Below are 21,284 nucleotides of genomic sequence, written 5' to 3'. Positions count from 1 at the left end.
CCTTGTAAGTTGGATTCCTAGGTATTTTATTCTCTTTGAAGCAATTGTGAATGGGAGTTCACTCATGATTTGGCTCTCTGTTTGTCTGTTATTGGTGTATAAGAATGCTTGTGATTTTTGCACATTGATTTTGTATCCTGAGACTTTGCTGAAGTTGCTTATCACCTTAAGGAGATTTTGGGCTGAGATGATAGGGTTTTCTAAATGTACAATCCTTTCATCTGCAAACAGGGACGATTTGACTTCCTTTTTTCCTAATTGAATATCCTTTATTTCTTTCTCCTGCCTGATTGCCCTGGCCAGAACTTCCAACACTATGTTGAATAGGAGGGGTGAGAGAGGACATCCCTGTCTTGTGCCAGTTTTCAAAGGGAATGCTTCCAGTTTTTGCCCATTCAGCATGATATTGGCTGTGGGTTTGTCATAAATAGCTCTTATTATTTTGACATATGTCCCATCAATCCCTAATTTATTGAGAGTTTTTAGCATGAAGGGTTGTTGAATTTTGTCAAAGGCCTTTTCTGCATCTATGGAGATAATCATGTGGTTTTTGTCTTTGGTTCTGTTTATATGCTGGATTACATGCATTGATTGCATGTGTTGAACCAGCTTTGCATCCCAGGGATGAAGCCCACTTCATCATGTTGGATAAGCTTTTTGATGTGCTGCTGGATTCGGTTTGCCAGTATTTTATTGAGGATTTTTCCATCGATGTTCATCAAGGATATTGGTCTAAAATTCTCTTTTTTTGTTGTGTCTCTGCCAGGCTTTGGTATTAGGATGATGCTGGCCTTATAAAATGAGTTAGGGAGGATTCCCTCTTTTTCTATTGATTGGAATAGTTTCAGAAGGAATGGTATGAGCTCCTCCTTGTACCTCTGGTAGAATTCGGCTGTGAATCCATCTGGTCCTTTTTTGGTTGGTAGGCTATTAATTATTGCCTCAATTTCAGAGCCTGTTATTGGTCTATTCAGGGATTCATCTTCTTCCTGGTTTAGTCTTGGGAGGGTGTATGTTTCCAGAAGTTTATCCATTTCTTCTAGATTTTCTAGTTTATTTGCGTAGAGGTGTTTATAGTATTCTCTGATGGTAGTTTATATTTCTGTGCGATCGGTGTTGATATCCCCTGTATCATTTTTTATTGCATCTATTTGATTCTTCTCTCTTTTCTTCTTTATTAGTCTTGCTAGCGGTCTATCAATTTTGTTGATCTTTTCAAAAAACCAGCTTCTGCATTCATTGATTTTTTGAAGGGTTTTTTGTGTCTCTGTCTCCTTCAGTTCTTCTCTGATCTTAGTTATTTCTTGCCTTCTGCTAGCTTTTGAATGTGTTTGCTCTTGCTTCTCTAGTTCTTTTAATTGTGATATTAGGGTGTCAATTTTAGATCTTTCCTGCTTTCTCTTGTGGACATTTAGTGCTATAAATTTTCCTCTACACACTGCTTTAAATGTGTCCCAGAGATTCTGGTATGTTGTGTCTTTTTTCTCATTGTTTTCAAAGAATATCTTTATTTCTGCCTTCATTTTGTTATGTACCCAGTAGTCATTCAGGAGCAGGTTGTTCAGTTTCCATGCAGTTGAGCGGTTTTGAGTGAGTTCTTAATCCTGAGTTCTAGTTTGATTGCACTGTAGTGTGAGAGATAGGTATAATTTCTGTTCTTTTACATTTGCTGAGGAGTGCTTTGCTTCCAACTATGTGGTCAATTTTGGAATAAGTGCGATGTGGTTCTGAGAAGAATGTGTATTCTGCTGATTGGAGTGGAGAGTTCTGTAGGTGTCTATTAGGTCCGCTTGGTGCAGAGCTGAGTTCAATTCCTGGATATCCTTGTTAACTTTCTGTCTCGTTGATCTGTCTAATGTTGACAGTGGGGTGTTATAGTCTCCCATTATTATTGTGTGGTTGTCTAAGTCTCTTTGTAGGTCTCTAAGGACTTGCTTTATGAATCTGGGTGCTCCTGTATTGGGTGCATATATATTTAGGATAGTTAGCTCTTCTTGTTGAATTGATCCCTTTACCATTATGTAATGGCCTTCTTTGTCTGTTTTGATCTTTGTTGGTTTAAAGTCTGTTTTATCAGAGACTAGGATTGCAACCCCTGCCTTTTTTTGTTTTCCATTTGCTTGGTAGATCTTCCTCCATCCCTTTATTTTGAGCCTATGTGTGTCTGCATGTGAGATGGGTTTCCTGAATACAGCACACTGATGGGTCTTGACTCTATCCAGTTTGCCAGTCTGTGCATTTTAATTGGAACATTTAGTCTATTTACATTTAAGGTTAATATTGTTATGTGTGAATTTGATCCTGTCATTATGATGTTAGCTGGTTATTTTGCTCATTAGTTGATGCAGTTTCTTCTAGCATCGATGGTCTTTACAATTTGGTGTGTTTCTGCTGTGGCTGGTACCGGTTGTTCCTTTCCATGTTTAGTGCTTCCTTCAGGAGCTCTTTTAGGGGAGGCCTGGTGGTGCCAAAATCTCTCAGCATTTGCTTGTCTGTAAAGGATTTTGTTTCTCCTTCACTTATGAAGCTTAGTTTGGTTGGATATGAAATTCTGGGTTGAAAATTCTTTTCTTTAAGAATGTTGAATGTTGGCCCTCACTCTCTTCTGGCTTGTAGAGTTTCTGCTGAGAGATCAGCTGTTAGTCTGATGGGCTTCCGTTTGTGGGCAACCCCACCTTTCTCTCTGGCTGCCCTTAACATTTTTTCCTTTATTTCAACTTTGGTGAATCTGACAATTATGTGTCTTTGAGTTGGTCTTCTCGAGGAGTATCTTTGTGGCGTTCTCTGTATTTCCTGAATTTGAATATTGGCCTGCCTTACTAGGTTGGGGAAGTTCTCCTGGATAATATCTTGCATGGTGTTTTCCAACTTGGTTCCATTCTCGCCGTCACTTTCAGGTACGCCAATCAGACGTAGTTTTGGTCTTCTCACATAGTCCCATAATTCTTGGAGGCTTTGTTCATTTCTTTTTACTCTTTTCTCTCTAAACTCTTCTCACTTCATTTCATTCATTTGATCTTCAATCACTGATACCCTTTCTTCCAGTTGATTGAATCGGCTACTGAAGCTTGTCATTCGTCACGTAGTTCTCGTGCCATGGTTTTCAGCTCCATCAGGTCATTTAAGGACTTCTCTACACTGGTTATTCTAGTTAGCCATTCGTCTAATTTTTTTTCAAGGTTTTTAGCTTCTTTGCAATGGGTTCGAACTTCCTCCTTTAGCTCAGAGAAGTTTGATCATCTGAAGCCTTCTTCTCTCAACTCGTCAAAATCATTCTTTGTGCAGCTTTGTTCCATTGCTAGTGAGGAGCTGCGTTCCTTTGGAGGGGGAGAGGCGCTCTGATTTTTAGAATTTTCAGCTTTTCTGCTCTGTTTTTTTCCCCATCTTTGTGGTTTTATCTGTCTTTGGTCTTTGATGATGGTGACATGCGAATGAGGTTTTGGTGTGGATGTCTTTTCTGTTTGTTAGTTTTCCTTCTAACAGTCAGGACCCTCAGCTGCAGGTCTGTTGGAGTTTGCTGGAGGTCCACTCCAGATGCTGTTTGCCTGGGTATCAGCAGTGCAGGCTGCAGAACAGTGAATATTGCTGAATAGCAAATGTTGCTGCCTGATCATTCCTCTGGAAGCTTTGTCTCAGAGGGGTACTCGGCCCTGTGGGGTGTCAGTCTGCCCCTACTGGGGAGTGCCTCCTAGTTAGGCTACTCGGGGGTCAGGGACCTACTTGAGGAGGCAGTCTGTCCGTTCTCAGATCTCAAATTCCATGCTGGGAGAACCACTACTCTCTTCAAAGCTGTCAGACAGGGATATTTAAGTCTGCAGAGGTTTCTGCTGCCTTTTGTTCGGCTATGCCCTGCCCCCCGAGGTGGAGTCTACAGAGGCAGGCAGTCCTCATTGAGCTGTGGTGGGCTCCACCCAGTTTGAGCATCCAGGCCACTTTGTTTACCTACTCAAGCTTCAGCAATGGTGGGCGCCCCTCCCCAAGCCTTGCTGCTGCCTTGCATTTCGATCTCAGACTGCTGTGCTAGCAACGAGTGAGGTTCTGAGGGTGTGGGACCCTCTGAGACATGCGTGGGATATAATCTCCTGGTGTGCCGTTTGCTAAGACCATTGGAAAAGCACAGTATTAGGGTAGGAGTGACCCAATTTTCCAGGTGCCATCTGTCACAGCTTCCCTTGGCTAGCCAAGGGAATTCCTTGACCCCTTGCGCTTCCCAGGTGAGGCGATGCCTCACCCTGCTTCAGCTCATGCTCGGTGGGCTGTACCCACTGTCCTGTACCCACTGTCTGACAAGCCCTAGTGAGATGAACCCAGTACCTCAGTTGGAAATGCAGAAATCACCCTTCTCTGCGTTGCTCACACTGAGAGCTGTAGACTGGAGCTGTTCCTATTTGGCCATTTTGGAACCTTTGTTAAAATTATTTTAAAGCTATTTTCCTGATATGAGTTTGTCTTGCTGTAAATTAACATGATGTTCTATACAAAACTTTGGAGAAATTGTTTGTTTGCATCTGCTAAAATAACAAATTATCTGCATTCATATTGATTCTTATAGTTAAGAGATTTTGAGCAAAATCAGATACACATTATCAGGAGCACTTTCACATGTCCTTTCTAATGGACACATTCAGTTTTTCAGAATATTTATAGTGTTGATGCTTCTGAACAAACTTTTTAGTTAAAGAAAGCAAAAAAAGGAATATAAGATATATTTCCTCTAATCTTCAAGAATCTCCAATTGTTCTACTTGTTCAGATGTGAAATTTAACAGAAACACAGATATATATATATGTATATATGCTTTGAAAGTAATTGCCAAATAATATACTTAAATGAAACTGTCTTTATAGTTTTTAACCTTTGTGCACACACATACATACACCCTAAAATTTCACAAGTCTACTCACTACCCAAAGATTAATACTGTACATATGTAGTGTATTTTTATAGATTAAATCCTTCTTGCTCTTCTTCACTAATTCCCCTCCTCCTACCCCCAAATCATTTTTTCTCTCTTATATACATATGTATTTTACCAAAATAGGACCATATTAGAGTATTACTTTTAATTTACTTTTTGCCTAAATTTATATTATGAACATTTTTACGTTAATAAATATTCTGTTATTATTCTCTTTACTGATGGCACAGCACATCGCAATATAGGTTTTTATACATTATTTTCCCAGACCCATATTACTAAATGTTTTGGGTAGATTTTGTTTTGTTTTTTTTTTTTTTTGGTATTTCAATTTTGAAACAAACACCCCCATCCATATGTCTTTGCATGCTTTTTCAATGATGTCCTAAGGAAAAATTCTTAGATGTAGAATAGCTGAGTCAAATTGTAAGAACACTTTTAAAGCTTTTCATAAGAATGAAAAATTGGTGTACAGAAAGGCAACTCACTAACATCAGTACATGAGGGTGCCAATTTTGTGGGGAGCAATTTTATTTTATTTAGATAGAGGAATCATTAAAAAACCTCACTTTTTCAATTTTAGGAATTCTTGAAGGAAAATTAGAGCATCTGACATACTTATTTTAAAATCCTTGAGGTATAGTTTTGTCAAATGGAATAAAAAGATCAGCTTCAATCCTGAGCTTTTATATTTGCTCTCATAAACAATTTAAGCCCTTCCTAATCTTCAGTGTTTTTTATGCTTTGTTTAAAATTTGTTTAAACAAGATTATAACACCTAGTTTGCTTTTCTGTTTTATTGTTAGAATCATGAAATTCTTAAATGAATCATGGAGACAGATATCTCTTTTATTTTACCTTTTCTTTTTACCAGTAAGAAACTAAAGCACTAGACAAATCAAGTGAATGAATAAGTCCCCAGTGTTTGATTTCTGATAGTGAAATGTAGCCTCCTAATTCAAGGAGAGTTCAATATGGGTCAATCTGTTAAAATAATTAATGTATCCCGTTATTAGATGACAGGAATAAATTTTCTCATCTCAATTGATTTTAAAATGGCACTTACTAATATGAACTCAAATTTTGACTTAAAATAATCAGAGTAAATAAGCTAAAAATTAAAATTATTTACATTGTAGAATTAAAAAATATAAAAGCCAGTATTGGGGTTATACTCAAGAGTGAAACACTAGATGTATTCCTAAGAAAATCAGGAAAAAAGCAAAAGTATTTTTAATTCTATCAATATTTACATATAGTAAAAAATGAAACATTTGGAATTATTAGAAAAAGTGCAACAATAAAATACCATTATTTCCAGAAAAAGTAGATATATCTACTTTTTCTGGAAATAATGGTAATTATTAGGTTTCTAAGAGAATCCAAGAGAATTACGGAAAAATTTGGTGTTAACACCAAGTAAAAGAGTTGAAAAGGTAATTGGATATAAATCAAATATAAAAATAATCCTTTTATTAACTATAATTAGTTTGAAAAATTGAATAAAATAAAAATATACCACTTACGATTGCAGCAAAACATATAATATCTGGAGACAAAAGATATATGTTCACTAAGAGAAATATGTAGAGATTTGAATAAAGACTGTGTACTATAAAGATATAGTTCTTCCTTAATTATTATATATATATTTTTTTGAGACAGGGTCTTTCTCTCTCATCCAGGCTGGAATACAGTGATAAGATTACAGCTCAATGCAGCCGCAACCTTGACCTCCCAGGCTCAAGTGATCCTCCCACTTCAGCCTCCCTAGTAGCTAGGATCACGAACACACACCACCATGCCTAATTTTATTTTTTTTAATTGTATTTATTTTTTCGTAAGGTCAAGGTTTCAATATGTTTTCCAGGCTGGTCTCAGACTCCTGGGCTCAAGTACTCCTTCCACCTCTGCCTTTCAAAGTGTTGGATTACAGGCATTAGCCACCATGCCTGACCCCTCAATATATATATATATTTTTAAGGAGTGTTGCAATTTCAACAACGTTCTCAGACAGGTTATTTTGTTTGTTTTTTTTAATTTAGCAAAGTGATTCCAAAGTTTGTCTGGGGTACATCCAAGTACATATTTCAAAAGAGGAGTAAAAGGAGGGATGTGCCTTACTAAACATTAAAATAATTAAACTTCAGTAACTTAAAAGAGAATGGGACTTACTTGCAAAAATGACTAACACATTGAACCAAGGGACAAAGTCAGTAAAAAGCCCTGTAAATGACCTTGCAATATATAAGAACCTGCAGATAATAAAGGTGGCATTACAAGCTTATGAGGAAAGTAAAGTTTAAGCAAATGTAGGTCTATCTAAATTACACATATGAATTAAAAATACTCTATAGAAATGGGTAATGATTATAAACAGAAAGGTCACAGAAGAATTAAAAGTAACAGACATATGAAATAATACCCCATCCTACTTATAAAAAATAATGAAAATTTACAAAATTTAGTCTGAGTTTTTGGGAAACAGGCACTCCTAGCCTACAGTTGGGTTTGTAATTAATAAATACATTTTTAGAGGGCAATTGGCAGCGTGTATTAAAAGCATTAAAAAGGTGTATCCCTTAATTTTGCAGTTCAAATTCTAATGGTTTTGATTTAAAGAAGGATCAGAGGGCCAAGCATGGTGGCTCACACCTGTAATCCCAGCACTTTGGGAGACTGACGCAGGTGGATCACGAGGTCAGGAGTTCGAGACCAGCCTGGCCAACATGGTGAAACCCCATCTCTACCAAGAATGCAAATATTAGCTGGTCATGGTGGCGAGTGCCTGTAATCCCAGCTGCTCAGGAGGCTGAGGCAGGAGAATCACTTGAAACTGGAAGGTGGAGGTTGCAGTGAGCTGAGATTGCACCACTGCACTCCAGCCTAGGCGACAGAGCAAGACTGCATCTCAAAAAAAAAAAAAAAAAAAAAATCAGAACTTTGTATATGTTACAAGGGATGGTAATGATACTGTTTATGATACCAAATACTATGAGTGGAGTAAATGTAAAGCAATTGCTTGCTGCTTAAGTAAGGGTTTCTCTAAGAGTCTATGGGAAGCATCAGATTCATCTAGGAAGCTTTTGTAAATATCTGCCCTCTAATTCCAATATTCTAATATATAAAATCCACCCAGGATATATGAAATAAAATAACTGTTTCTCTTTTACTTCTCTCAAACATTCTGTAGATTATGCTTATCATTCTCTGTCTTTTCAGTGTCTTTGTCCTCCCCCAGAGCAATAACATTGAGGTATCATTCTTGTTACACTGTCCAGGAAAAAATATAACACTTTGGTCGTCATCTATTTCATTTATCTCTTTTTGAGTTTCCCTTGAACTACTCTCAAAATATGTATTGAAAGAGGAGCTTTGGTTGTTTTGGAAATTATTTGAAAACTGAGAATATTGATAAAATAATAGCCAAAGTACATATTAGCAGACTACTATCTGCTTCTTAGCCTTATATCATAATAACTTGAAAATAAACAACTTATTTTTATTATTTCCATGTGTCTTTATTTGAAATACAAAGAACTTACAAAATGATAAAATCTTACTCATAATTTTTGTCATTTCTCTCTATATACTGTGTTAATACTTTGGTATTAGTAGATTAATATGATGTACTCATGTTTTAGCTTTTTTAAATTGTGAGATGTTTGAAATGATACATGGTATTTTTGATATTTTTAGTAAGATGGAATGTAAAGTAGCATTAAAATGAGTGTATTTGTTTTTGCAGAGTTTCTAACTATGATATCTTCTGGTATACTCATAACCTCTTCTTTGTCTTCTACATGCTGCTGACGTTGCATGTTTCAGGGTAAGTTTACAAATGTATGTATTTAAAACCATTTGTGCCCCAAAATGGGGTAATGAAAGAAAACTCTATAGGAAATTTCATAGGAGGTGGTAAAAGTGTCAAGAGTGAAAGAAATAGTTTCTCTACTATTGAGGATAACGTCAAGAATGGAAGAAATAGTTTTATTTTTAGCATAGCATATTGTAATGAAACCAGTATAAAGTATACTAAATTTAAAAGCTAGAATTACCTCTCCAACAACCTTTCAGTTTCTAAATCTTCCTATGGATATATCCTAATATCTTCTAAATGAAAAAATTTAAGAATGAAGAACATCAGGAATATATTTTAGTATTTGTATTTCCTGAAACTGTCCTGCTAAAGCAAGATTTATAATAATGGAATTTCCAGTTTTTCATTTTAAAAGTTCTACAGGAAGTAATACTTGCAGAGAGAGCCAAAGATTTAAAATAACCAAAGAAAAGGATCTGTCAAAATCACCAAGGAAAAAAAACATAAAGTGAAAAAATAATGTATCCTAAGCTTATTACAAAGAGTATACCTAAAGTATTCCAAAAATATGTGTACCCAAGCAGTATACTCAAAAACATGGTGCTTAAAACAATACATGAAGATAGATGAAGAAAATAATGTATTTTTGTACATGCATATGTCTGTATGGCCACCGGCAGTGAACTTGATGGCTTTGGCGTGACATTCACACCTGCATGACATAATAAGTCTGGCAGCAGTTTTACTTGGTTTGGCAAGATACAGGGCAGGACACACAGAATGTCAACAGGATAATGTCAGGTGCTTATTAAGTAGAAATCCCTATATTTGCTCAGAAGCATTTACCCCCACTCCTTCATGTAGCAACTCTAAGATAAGAAACCCATGTGGGTAAGCATGGTCTACCTTGCATTGGGTAAGGCTCATTCGTACTCCACAGGAACCTGTATCTTGGGAACAGCATAGGTCCCCTCAAGGGATGCCCTTGGGATCAAGAACACACTGTACACAAGGAGGCTGAGGTCTGTGAGGTCCAAAATGATTTCATAGTTCAATCACAGTCCTTTCTGTCCAGATGCATTTCACCGATAATAAACAATGTTGCTGGTAACACAGCTGACAATCCCTATTTTTCTTAACCTGAAATATTTCCAGGGAAACAGTTTGAAGAAAGGTTCAGACCTTTGTTTAGTTCTTTCTTCAGAATGTTTTATAATGTAATTTATCAGTACAGTGGGTCATTTACATTGATCATATATTTATTTCAGGGTACATATTCAAACTGTTGCTTTGGCTTTTTTCCACCTGATTTTAGAGACTGCTGATTAAGACAGCAGTATCAAATATCCCATATGTCCTGGTTAGCTTTGTTCAGTACCAAGGTTCCAGAACACATAGTTGTAGAGCACTGGAAACATGGCCACACATTATAACTAATTCTCTGGAGCCTCAGGGCACCGAGAAAGCCCTTGGTAGATAAAAGACTGCTTTACATTCTGCTCTTTAAATGGGATTGGTTACCTGTCCAGGGCTATGCTCCTGAAGAGGACTATGAATAACCAGATACAACTAATGATAATAACAGTAATCTAAAATAGTTACATAATGCTTACTCTATGCTAAGTATAAATTCAAAATGCTTCACATACTTTATGTTATTAAATGCTCAGAATGTTATGAGAATAAATAATATTGTTAAACCTCTTTCAGAAGTGGGAACACTGATGTTTAGAAAGATTAAGCAGCTTGTTGAAGTTTACTTAACTGATGGATCCTAGATTCAAACCTAGGCATTCTGATTCAGAAACTCCTAAGTTTTTACTACAAGGCTTTATTTTTTTGGAGAGGTCTGTACTTCTGAGAATTTGATGTTAGTATTTGTTTAAATGCCTTTATCTTTACTGCTTTGAGATTGTGATCTGTCTATTCATCTATGTCCCTATATCAGATAGATATAGAAAATAAAAATGCAATCATTTATTAGTATAATTATATATTATTTTGCCTTTATGTTTTACTAAATTAAAACTCTGAAAAAAAACTATTTCTTTGTAAATCAAAATAGTGTCAATTTTTTGTTAAAGGATCAGCATTTCAAACAGACTTCTTTTTAAAGAGGAGGATTACATTGAGAGTTCTTTACTTTTTTGGAAGTAAAAGGAATGCATATTTAAATTTTGATTTTTACTTTTATAGAACAAGTGTCATAGAAAGTGACTTTAATTTATACAGAGAAATAGTAGGCATCTATAGGATGAATTATATATAATCAATCAATTATTAAACTAAATTAATATGTATTTATTCATTATAGGTAGAAATGAAGAAAGCAATTATTCTAATTTTGAAATATGTCATGCAACCCATACATAATACAATAAGCATTCTACAGTGCACATTTTTTCCAGGAAATTTAATAGATATGCTTCTGGTATGAGAAATGTTACTACTGATAACATTTTACCATTTTCTCAAAATTAAAAAAAAACTATACTGATGAAGGATTGGCTTATAATTAAGTCTATTTATTTGTGCAAATGTTGGAAACAGACATATTTTAACTTCTGAAATACCTAGATAACTTTGTTCTTCAACTTTTGGTTATACAAATAAAGTACAATTGTTCAAAGTAAATTTCTTGGATTTATATTGAAATTTCTGTTCAACAGTATGCTTTAGGTCTGAACAGAAAATCACTATTTGCTTAGCATTAGCTTCTCTGTCCATCAATGTGGTAAGTACCATAAGGTAAAGAAGAGCAATATATTGCATGATGTCTAGTCATCCAGCATTGATCATTGATTTGGAATTTTGAAAAATCAATTGGAAAAGCTAGACATATTATAAAACTGCATATTTTTAAAATGTAAACATTCATGTGTTATTTACATGAATGCTAGCAATTCAGAGAATTATCAGTGTGGGCTAGAAATTCTAGAAAATATTAGGCTTCAAAGATGAGGTGATGAGACATTGTTGACTGGTTTTTCTACCTAAGCAGACTTTTACAGTAAGAGCATTTGCTTCATATGATTTTCTAAGGTCATTTTTTTCATAGAATCTTAAATTTTAAAGGAAGCTGAAAAGATATCTTGATCAAGCCTCTTTTAAGCTCCTCTGCAATTTATCTACTAAGTCAATGCCTAATTTTGAAGATGTCCATTCTGTCTTAGGGGAAGTTCTAATTCTCACAATGTTCTTTCGTTTTTGGTTGGAATTATTTTACTGTAATTTCTGTCTAGCTATTTAAAAGTCTGTGATTCTGGAGGCCATGGAAGTTAAGTCGCCCACTTTTCTAAATTCTATTCATCTGTTTCTCACGTTGTGATATTTCAGATCTCAATTTTCTGAACTGTCTCTTCGAATATATTAACAATTAATATTAATTGAATGCTTCTCTTTTACTAACATTTGCTCTCATTAAATCCTCCTAACAACCCTGTAAATTTATTATTATTATTATTATTATTATTATTATTATTATTATTCTCAATGTTCAGCTGAGAGAATAGGAGCAGTGAGAGATAAGTTGCTGAGGGCCATGGCTAGTAAGTAGATTTCCAGTTTGAACCCAGGTATCAGGTACCAAAATTAACATTCTTAACCACTAAGTTATGCTGGCCCCCATTTGGCAACACTTCTCTGTATCCCTTTTAAAACTTACACCAAACTAAATGTTCTTGGAGTATGTGATCTGATTTTGGCAGAGTGAAAGTCTCACTTTCTTCACTACAAACATTGCAATCGGTATTATTTAGGACCCAAATTTTTTGTTCTATGATTATCTGTGCCCTTGGCTTAACCTGGTTTTCATTCTTGTTGTATATTTTAGCGATTTTCTTCATTTTTTATAAATAAATCTGTTGCATGCCACCCTAAAAAGATGACATTTCATGTACACTAAACTAGATGTTTCTTTTTAGTGTTAAAATACATCTTTAAAATACATTAATTTTCTTCTCCAAGATGTTAGTATATTATAGAAGTTAAAAGATACATCACTTAATACCCGTATGAACTTGGCAGATAATTTGTCCTTGCTTTTTGTTAGCAATTAAATGGGATTAATAAAATCACTTATATCATAGTGTTGTCTTGGGTTTAAAGTAATGCAGCAAAGTAGGCAGAATATAGACATACTTAATAAATGTTAGTAAGAACAAATTATACTAGTACCAATACTTATAGCTTTGTAAGAATGACACTCCACATTTAACTTTGAAAAATCAGGTTTTTTGATAAAGACACAACACTTTTGAAAAACCCAGATTTTCTTATCAACAAAGTAATTTGATGAACATAGTGAAAACTACTTAGCAGCTCAAAGGAATATTCCTTGATATGGCAACAATTATAATATTCTAAGATCTCTAACATTCTATTGATTTTTAGCAATAAAGGTTTATCTTTGCAAAACAAGCCTTCCTCCTGAGGAATTTTTTGTTTTGATTTTTAATATACCTTTTTGGGAGGTTGCTATTGGTGTGCTTAGGAATTTAAAGGTATTCAATTCCTAAGATACCTGGTGAAAACAAAACAAAACAAAACCATTTCCTCTTTCCAAACATGTATAGAACTGGATATCTCTTTCCTCATTTTCTTTTGAAAAACTCAGAAGGAGATGCATACTGCTATTCTCACTTACTGATAAAAAGAGTATTGGAGGGAAAATAAATTACGAATGTCACAGTCTCTGCTTAAGAGCCCAACCCAGCTCCTTTCGAAGAAATGTGGAGGGAATGCATTGTAAATGAGATTTGGCACCTTAGCTTCTGCAGTCTTACCATAGTCAACACTCCCACTGGCTTTAGCTTGGAGAGTGCTGTGTGGGTGGTGATTGTATTTTATGTCTTTATTTAACTGAGTGAGAGAGACTATAATGTGATAATTCTGGAAATGATAGAGGGGAAGGTCCTCCTCAAATGTTTGGATGACAATGACAGCACATTAAAAGTGTAAATATTTTTTTGTGCTAGCTCTGCTGCACTTCTCAGATCTTTTTATTATATGAATGATACCTGAATTATTCTTTTAAGCAGAACTCTTTGCCATTTGGCACTACTTGTTAGCAAGAGTTAATCATAGAGCATGATTTATATTCTACTTGAATCATTTTTTTTCTAGGAAATCTAAAAGGAGTATTTTTATGTGCATGTTTTTAAAAACATTTATTCTTTATGCCAGGGGAGCACAGTGGGCAGGCTTTGTCAACAGTGACATTAATGAACCCCCGGCAGTGTCATAGGCGGATAGTTTAACAGGGAGCATCACAGGAGTTTAGACTCAAGATGTTAACCAGGGTTAGACAGATATTGTGGGGGTCGGCTTATTGTGCTGACTGGAAAATAACCTCCCTCTATTATGGCCTCGGGCCTCAGGAGGAGGACATTAAGGATATACTGTTAGAGGATAGAGATATTTGTGCAATATAGTGAAGTGTTAAGGACTGCTGATACCCAAGTATCTTCCCTTTTAGAAGCCACTTTCGTGGAAGTCTTCCTTCACCCACACTGATGTGGCAGAGGGAAAAGCTTGGTCATCTTGCTACTGGTGGGAGGCACTTGCTCCTCTTAGAAAGTCAAATTGCATTTTGAATGGAAGGCCCACAAGTTGTATTTTAAACAATCCTATTCTAGTACTGAGGGAGAAAATTTTTACTTTCCTCTATGTTCTTTTCAGTTTCCCATTTCTTGCCTGTACATTTGCAGTGACTTTGTAATTTATTGTCCAAACCAGATACTTTTGAGAATGAATGGGGATGCTATTGATAATTCAGCAGTGGCTATAGAAAAACCAGGTCATACAGGTATTCTACCTACTCCTAGGCAGTGGGGAAAGTTTTAAGAGAGGCTAATGCACTGTTTTAATGTAGACTTTGAGCTAGAGCCACAAAAGGAGTCCTTACCTTGAATAGGGGCTCTGTGTGTGTATTTGAGAAACAGAACCTTCAAATAATACACACTGTAGGTTTGCCTAGCTTTGTCTCACTTTAGAGATTGTAATTAGATGTCCACTACCATGGTCATTAGAAGGCTGAGGATTTGGTTGTTCATGACAGTGGGTAAAATCTTTTATAAACTCTCTGTCACTGATATAGATGACCTGTTCTAATACTTCCTAGATGCCTAGTTTCTAATGAGTCTGGCATACTCGTTATCAGTTTGGTGCCCATTACTTCTATCACAAAATTCTACTTCTCTTTCCATAGGATAGGGGTTTTTAACATGGCTCCATAATCCCTAGGACTAATTGAATGGATTCAGGGATTCATTAATTCCTGAAATACATACACACACGTATCTGCATATTTATGTATAAGTTTAATTTTGAGACACATATGTATATTTTTGTATAAAACAAGTTTCTCAACTTTCATTAGATACCGTAAAGTTTGTGTGGTCAAAAACGTTTCAAAAAATATGGAACTGAAGTTTTTAAAGCTAGATTTTAACCAAAGAGCTGTAATATCTAATATCACATTGACACATTTTATATAGCCTACTTCAGTTTTATTTAGAGTTAGAATCACTGCATTGTGGGAAAAATAAAAGCCACTGGGGCATTTTTTTTCTTCCATGAAGGCTACTGGAAAAAGAACTTGACAAATATAATGAACAACTTAACAACTGCATTATCATTTTAGAGGATAATAATTATACTGTTCATAATAATTCTCTAGTTTTAGATAATGTTGACTATGTGACAGGGACTATTCTTAGCACTTTACACACACACACACATTAATTTTTTGTTTGTTTTTAATATGCACAGTACTATAAGTTCTTCTATCATTTCTATTTTACAGATGGGGAATTGAAGCATGAAAGATTAAATTAAGTAACTGTCTAAAGTCACACAGCTAATAACTGAAAAAACTAAGATTGAGCCCATGAAGTTTGACCCCTGAATTTAACTTCTACCCTTTTCTTGAATTATTGAATTATTTATTTGTCATTTAGAAAGTACTCTTGCTTATGAATGAAAAATATTTATGTATTGTAAAAATCTAGGATATATTTTTCTATTCGTCCATGTAAGTTGGTGAGTATATATACATATATGTTTGCCTGTTTTGAATCAGAAGTTCAATTTTGATTCAGGGTACATAGAGTTCAAGGTTTTGAAGGTGAAATCTAACTAGCTCCCAGAAAATGGAGTAAGAAGAAAATGGCTTCTTTATGGTGCTGCCTGATAAATGTTTCCTAAAATGTTTGACCTTGTTAAGATACATAATAATATGATAACTCTATAATATAATGTAATCATTTTATAATAAATCTAATAATAAAATAAAAAAAATGTGATACTTTACTTGCCAGAATTCTTCCATGTAACCTGAAAATAACAATGAAGAAGACTAGGATTTAGACTGGAGCAGATAAAAATGCTGTGGAAGAGATATTCTTATCAGTATTTTATTGCCAGTGTGTCTTTATAAAAGGATTAAGTCAAAACATAGCAAAGAAAGCAATGGGGAAAATATATTATTCATCATATAGAAAAATCAATTAAGTCCACAGATTTCCAAAACCCATACCTTTTAGAATTTTGCTATGAATTTTCTCTAAATATTAGATTACCCATCCAGTTATTATTCAAATGTGTGGGATGAATTTGATAATGGAATTCCAAAGTAAATACATAAACGAACCCAAGTAAGCATGCAATTTGTGAATTACCATAGTTTTGCTATCCCACACATTTTGGTATTTTGACTTTAAAAATAGTGAAACAAATGCCCTGGGTTATAATAGTGAAGAAAGAGGATTGATTCCTAGAAGATCACTAATCTTAGACAAATCAGTTTTTTATAGAGCTTCCTGATTTGTGCAATAAAGAAAAATAATTGTATCTCCCAGACCTATTAGAAGAGAAATATTAGCTATCATACATAAAATTGACACTATACACACACATATACATATATACACATATATTTTTATTGTTGTCTATGTAATGTTCTCCATTTAAAAAACTTTTCTATTTTTAATTTTTATGAATACATAGTAGGCATATATGTTTATGGGATACATGAGATATTTTGATACAGGCATACAATGTGTAATGATCACATTTGCATAAATGAGATATTCATAATCTCAAATATTTATCTTTTCTTTGTGTTACATACAAATTGTACTGTTTTCATTATTTTTTAATGTACATTATTGTTGACTCTAGTCATCTAATTATATTTTTATAACCAATACTCATCCCCACTTCTCCCCCTCTCATTCGCAGCCTCTGGTAATCGTCATTCTACTCTCTATCTTCACGAGTTCAGTTTTCATTTTTAGCTCCCACAAATAAGTGAGAACGTGTGAAATTTGTCTTTCTGTGCCTTGCTTATTTCACTTAACACAATGACCTCAGTTCCACCCACGTCGTTGAAAATGAGAGGATCTCCTTTTTGTGGCTGAATAGTACACCGTTGTTATATGTAGCACATTTTCTTTATCCATTCATCTGTTGATGGACACTTAGGTTGCTTCAAAATCTTGGCTATTGTGAATAGTGCTACAATAAACATGCAAGTGCAGGTATCTCTTCAATATACTGATTTCTTTTCTTTTGGGTATATACCTACCAATAGGATTGCTGGGTCATATGGTAGTTCTGTTTTTAGTCTTTTGAGGAACCTCCAAACTTTTCTCCCATAAGGGTTATGCTAACTTACATTCCCACCAACAGTGTATATGAGGGTTCCCTTTTCTCCACATTCTCACCAGTATTGGTTGTTGCCTGTGTTTTCAATATAAGCCATTTTAACTGTGGTGAGATAATATCGCATTGTAGTTTTACTTTGCATTTATCTGATGATGTGATGTTGAGCACCTTTTCATATACCTGTTTGCTATTTGTATGTCTTTTGAGATATGTCAATTTAGATATTGTGCCCATTTTTAAATCTGATTATTAGATTTTTTTCTTACATAACTATTTGAGTTATTTATATATTTTGGTTACTAATCTCTTGTCAGATGGATAGTTTGCAAATATTTTCCCCCATTCTTTGGGTTAGATCTTTACTTTGTTGATGTATGCTTTGCTGTGCAGAAGCTCTTTAATTTGATGTAATTCCATTTGTCTATTTTTGCTTTGATTGTCTTTGCTTGTGGGATATTACTCAAGAAATCTTTGCCCAGTCCAATGTCCTGGAGAGTTTCCCCAGTGTTTTCTTTTAGAGGTTTCATAGTTTCAGGTCTTAGATTAAGTCTTCAATCAATTTTGATTTTTTTAATTTAGGAAGAGATAGAGATCTAGTTTTATTCTTCTGGCATGTTGTATTTCCATTATCATGCATTTCAAAAAGTTTTAAAATTTCCTCAATAATTTCATCATTGACTCACTGGTTATCAGGAGTATATTGTAAAATTTCTGTGTATTTGTATAGTTTCCAAAATTCCTCTTATTGATTTCTAGTTCTGTTCCATTGTGGTCAGGAAAGGTGCTTGATATTATTTCAAGTTTTTGAATGTTTTGAGACTTTTTTGTTACCTAACATATGATCCTTGAGAATGACCCATGTGCTGAGGAGAAGAATCTGTGTTCTGCAGCCATTGGATAAAATGTTCTGTAAATATTTATTAGGTCCATTTGGTCTATAGTGCAGATTAAGTCTGATGTTTATTTCTTGATTTTCTGTCTGAAAGATCGGTCCAATGCTAAAAGTGGAATGTTGAAATCTCCAACTATTGTTGTATTTAAGTCTTTCTCTCTCTTTAGCCCTAATAATATTTGCTTTACGTTTTTGTGTGCTGCAGTTTTGGGTGTATATATATTTACAATTGTTATCTCATCTTGCTGAATTGACCCCTTTATCACATTATGATTTTTTTGGTCTCTTCTTATGGTTTTTGTCTTGAAATCTATTTTGTCTGATATTAAGTATAGCTTCTCCTCTTCCTTTTTGGTTTCCATTGGCATGGAATATGTTTTTCCATCTGTTTATTTTCAGTCTGTGTGTATCTTCATAGGTGAAGTGTGTTTCTTGTAACCAGCAGATCATTGGGTCTTTTTGTTTCTCCATTCAACCACTGTAAGTCTTTTGATTGGACAGTTTATTTCATTGACATTCTATGTTATTGCTGATAAGTATGGCCTTTCTTGTACCATTTTCTTATTTGCTTTCTGATTGTTTTGTGGTCTTCTCTTTCTTCTTTCCTTCCATCCTGTCTTCCTTTTGGTGAAGGTGATTTTCTCTGGGGTTATGTTTTAATTTCTTCTTTTTCTATTTTTTATGTATCTGTTGTATGTTTTCTGATTTGTGGTTACAATGAGGCTTGCAACCAATATAACCCACCTCAGGCCCACAGTGAGGTACTGCGTAGCTACTGCCTATGTTCATTCAAGGCCCAAGGACTCCTCAGTCAGCTTGTAGTGAATGCTTCCAGGCTTGGGACTTTTACTTCAGGATAATGCATTCCCCTCTGGCCCAGGGAGTGTCAAGAAATGTCATCTGAGAGCCAGTGCCTGGAATCAGGGAACCTTGCTTGGTGCTCTACCCCACTGTGGCTGAATTGGTATGTAACCTGCAAGACAAAGTCCCATTCACTCTTCCCTTTCCTTTTCTTACGCAGAAGGAGTCCCTCTCCATAACAACCACAGTTGGGAATTTGCTGGGTCACACCTAAAGCCAGTACATCTCTCAGTCTCACCCAAGGCCCATGGCGAGTACTGCGTGGGTACCACTGCTGGTTATTCAAGGGCCAATGGCTCTTTAGTCAGAAGATGATTAATCTTGCCAGGACTGGGTCCTTCTCTTCAAGGCAGCAAGTTTCTTGCTTGCCCAGGGTGTGTCTAGAAATGTCATTTGACAGTTAGTGCCTGGAATCAGGGCCTCAGGCCTCTGCCCAGGGCCCTATCCTACTGTGGCTGAGCTGGCATCCCAGAGGCAGGACAAAGTCCTCTTTATTCATCCCTCTCCTCTCTTCAAGCAGAAGGAAGAGGTCTCTCCCAGAACTGTGAGCTGTGTTGCCTGAGCTTGGTAGAGAGGTGGTGCAAGCACTCTCTTGGCTGCTCTGGCTAGTGTCTCACTGGGGCGTGTGCCACCCACATCACTGGCTGTGAGCCCTGCACAGCACCAGGACTTGCAGGGAATTTCAGTCCTTTAAACCTAGACTGCCTTTCAAGTTTATTTACAATCCCAGAGCACTTTAGCCCAAAATGGCAAGGCTTGCTGAGACTTAGGTTTTGACTGCTAGAATGGGCAATTCCTTTTTGGCTAGTACTGGGTCTAAATGCTCCCTCTGTGGGCTCTGGCTGAGTTCCTCCTGGTGTTGCTTTTCATTGTGACAGGGCAACACTGAGTTCTCTTCTCCCTAACCTCCTTATGTATCTGCGAGTTCCAACCCAAAAAAGAAAAATAAAATAGAACATTGTGCCATATTCTAGGTAAACTATAGTGGTTCTGGGGATAGGAGTGTTTATTTCCCATCTTTATGCAGGGAATCCCTTTCACATATCACTCACTCAGTATTTACTGGATGAAGCTGAATTGCATTAATTAGTTTAAGCTAGGAATGTGTTGTCCTTCTAGGCTCTTCCAATTTTCCTCAAGTATCAAGGCATTACAGATGACAATAAAGGATAATCTCTAAATTTGTTTAACTATAACTTGGACTGTCATTTTGTAACTATCATTTATATTTAGTCTTATCTAGGTAATTAGTTATTATGGCAACTAGTATATTGATTCCCACGCCAAAGGAATTAGCTTTTAAATCTTAACTATTTTGATTATATTGTAGACTGGCACATTTTTGTTCGGGGTCTTTATGCATTTCTGTGGCTAAAAAATCTGAAAGAAAAGAAAACCCATGCCTCTTATTTTATTTTATTTTATTTTATTTTTTGAGACATGGTCTTTCTGTGTTGCTCAGGCTGGTCTCAAAAGTCTGGCCTCAAGTAATCCTCCCAGCTCAGCCCCTAAGTGCTGGGTTTACAGGCATGATCCAGCATGCTCAGACCCAGCTCTCCTGATTTGTTTTATTTCACTTTTTAGTTCTTCAATTTTTCACTTAAATATATGGGGTGAAAAATATTATTGAATAATTAGATCTCTCTTAGATGGAATCCAAATTCTTCTCCTCCATAATATTTACATATTTTCAATATGTTAATAAATACAATGTCCTATATAACTATGATCTTTAAGATATAAAGTTTTTTTAACTTTATATCTTTTGTTTGCCAACTTCCAATTTTGTTTGCCAACTTCCAACTTTTTATTCATTGGATTTTTAAATTTTATGTAAAAAGTAGTATTTCTCTATAGTAATTATGGACTAAGATCTTATGGTTTATTCACATTTGTTGATATTTTATGCTGTAAGCCAGTTGGCAGTAGGGATTGAGGTCATGTGATATTTACCCCATTAACGATGCCTTACATTTCTATAGCTTGTATGTATATATGTCTGCTTATATACATATAGTATATACAGAACATTTTTATGTACATGAAGTCATTTATGCTGTAAGTTGTATATATTAATGGATTTTCTTAAACTTCCAAACTGCGAGTTTATTTTTTCCCCAGTTTTG

The 21,284-nt window shown here is 35.2% G+C and overlaps 1 protein-coding gene across 8 annotated transcripts in view; it reads left to right on the top strand.

Annotated features, from left to right (window-relative positions):
- NOX4 (NADPH oxidase 4) overlaps positions 1-21,284 on the top strand; it is a 265,205-nt gene that overhangs the window by 158,909 nt on the left and 85,012 nt on the right. For all 8 annotated transcript variants that reach the window (NM_001143837.2, NM_001300995.1, NM_001291926.2 and 5 more), the window contains 1 exon segment: positions 8,667-8,747. In NM_001143837.2, coding sequence (NP_001137309.2) covers positions 8,667-8,747 — 81 coding nt within the window.

This window comes from Homo sapiens, chromosome 11, assembly GCF_000001405.40.
Source record: "Homo sapiens chromosome 11, GRCh38.p14 Primary Assembly".
Lineage (NCBI taxonomy): Eukaryota > Metazoa > Chordata > Mammalia > Primates > Hominidae > Homo > Homo sapiens.
Note: the sequence above shows the minus strand (reverse complement) of the source record. Positions and strands in the feature narration are given on the sequence as shown.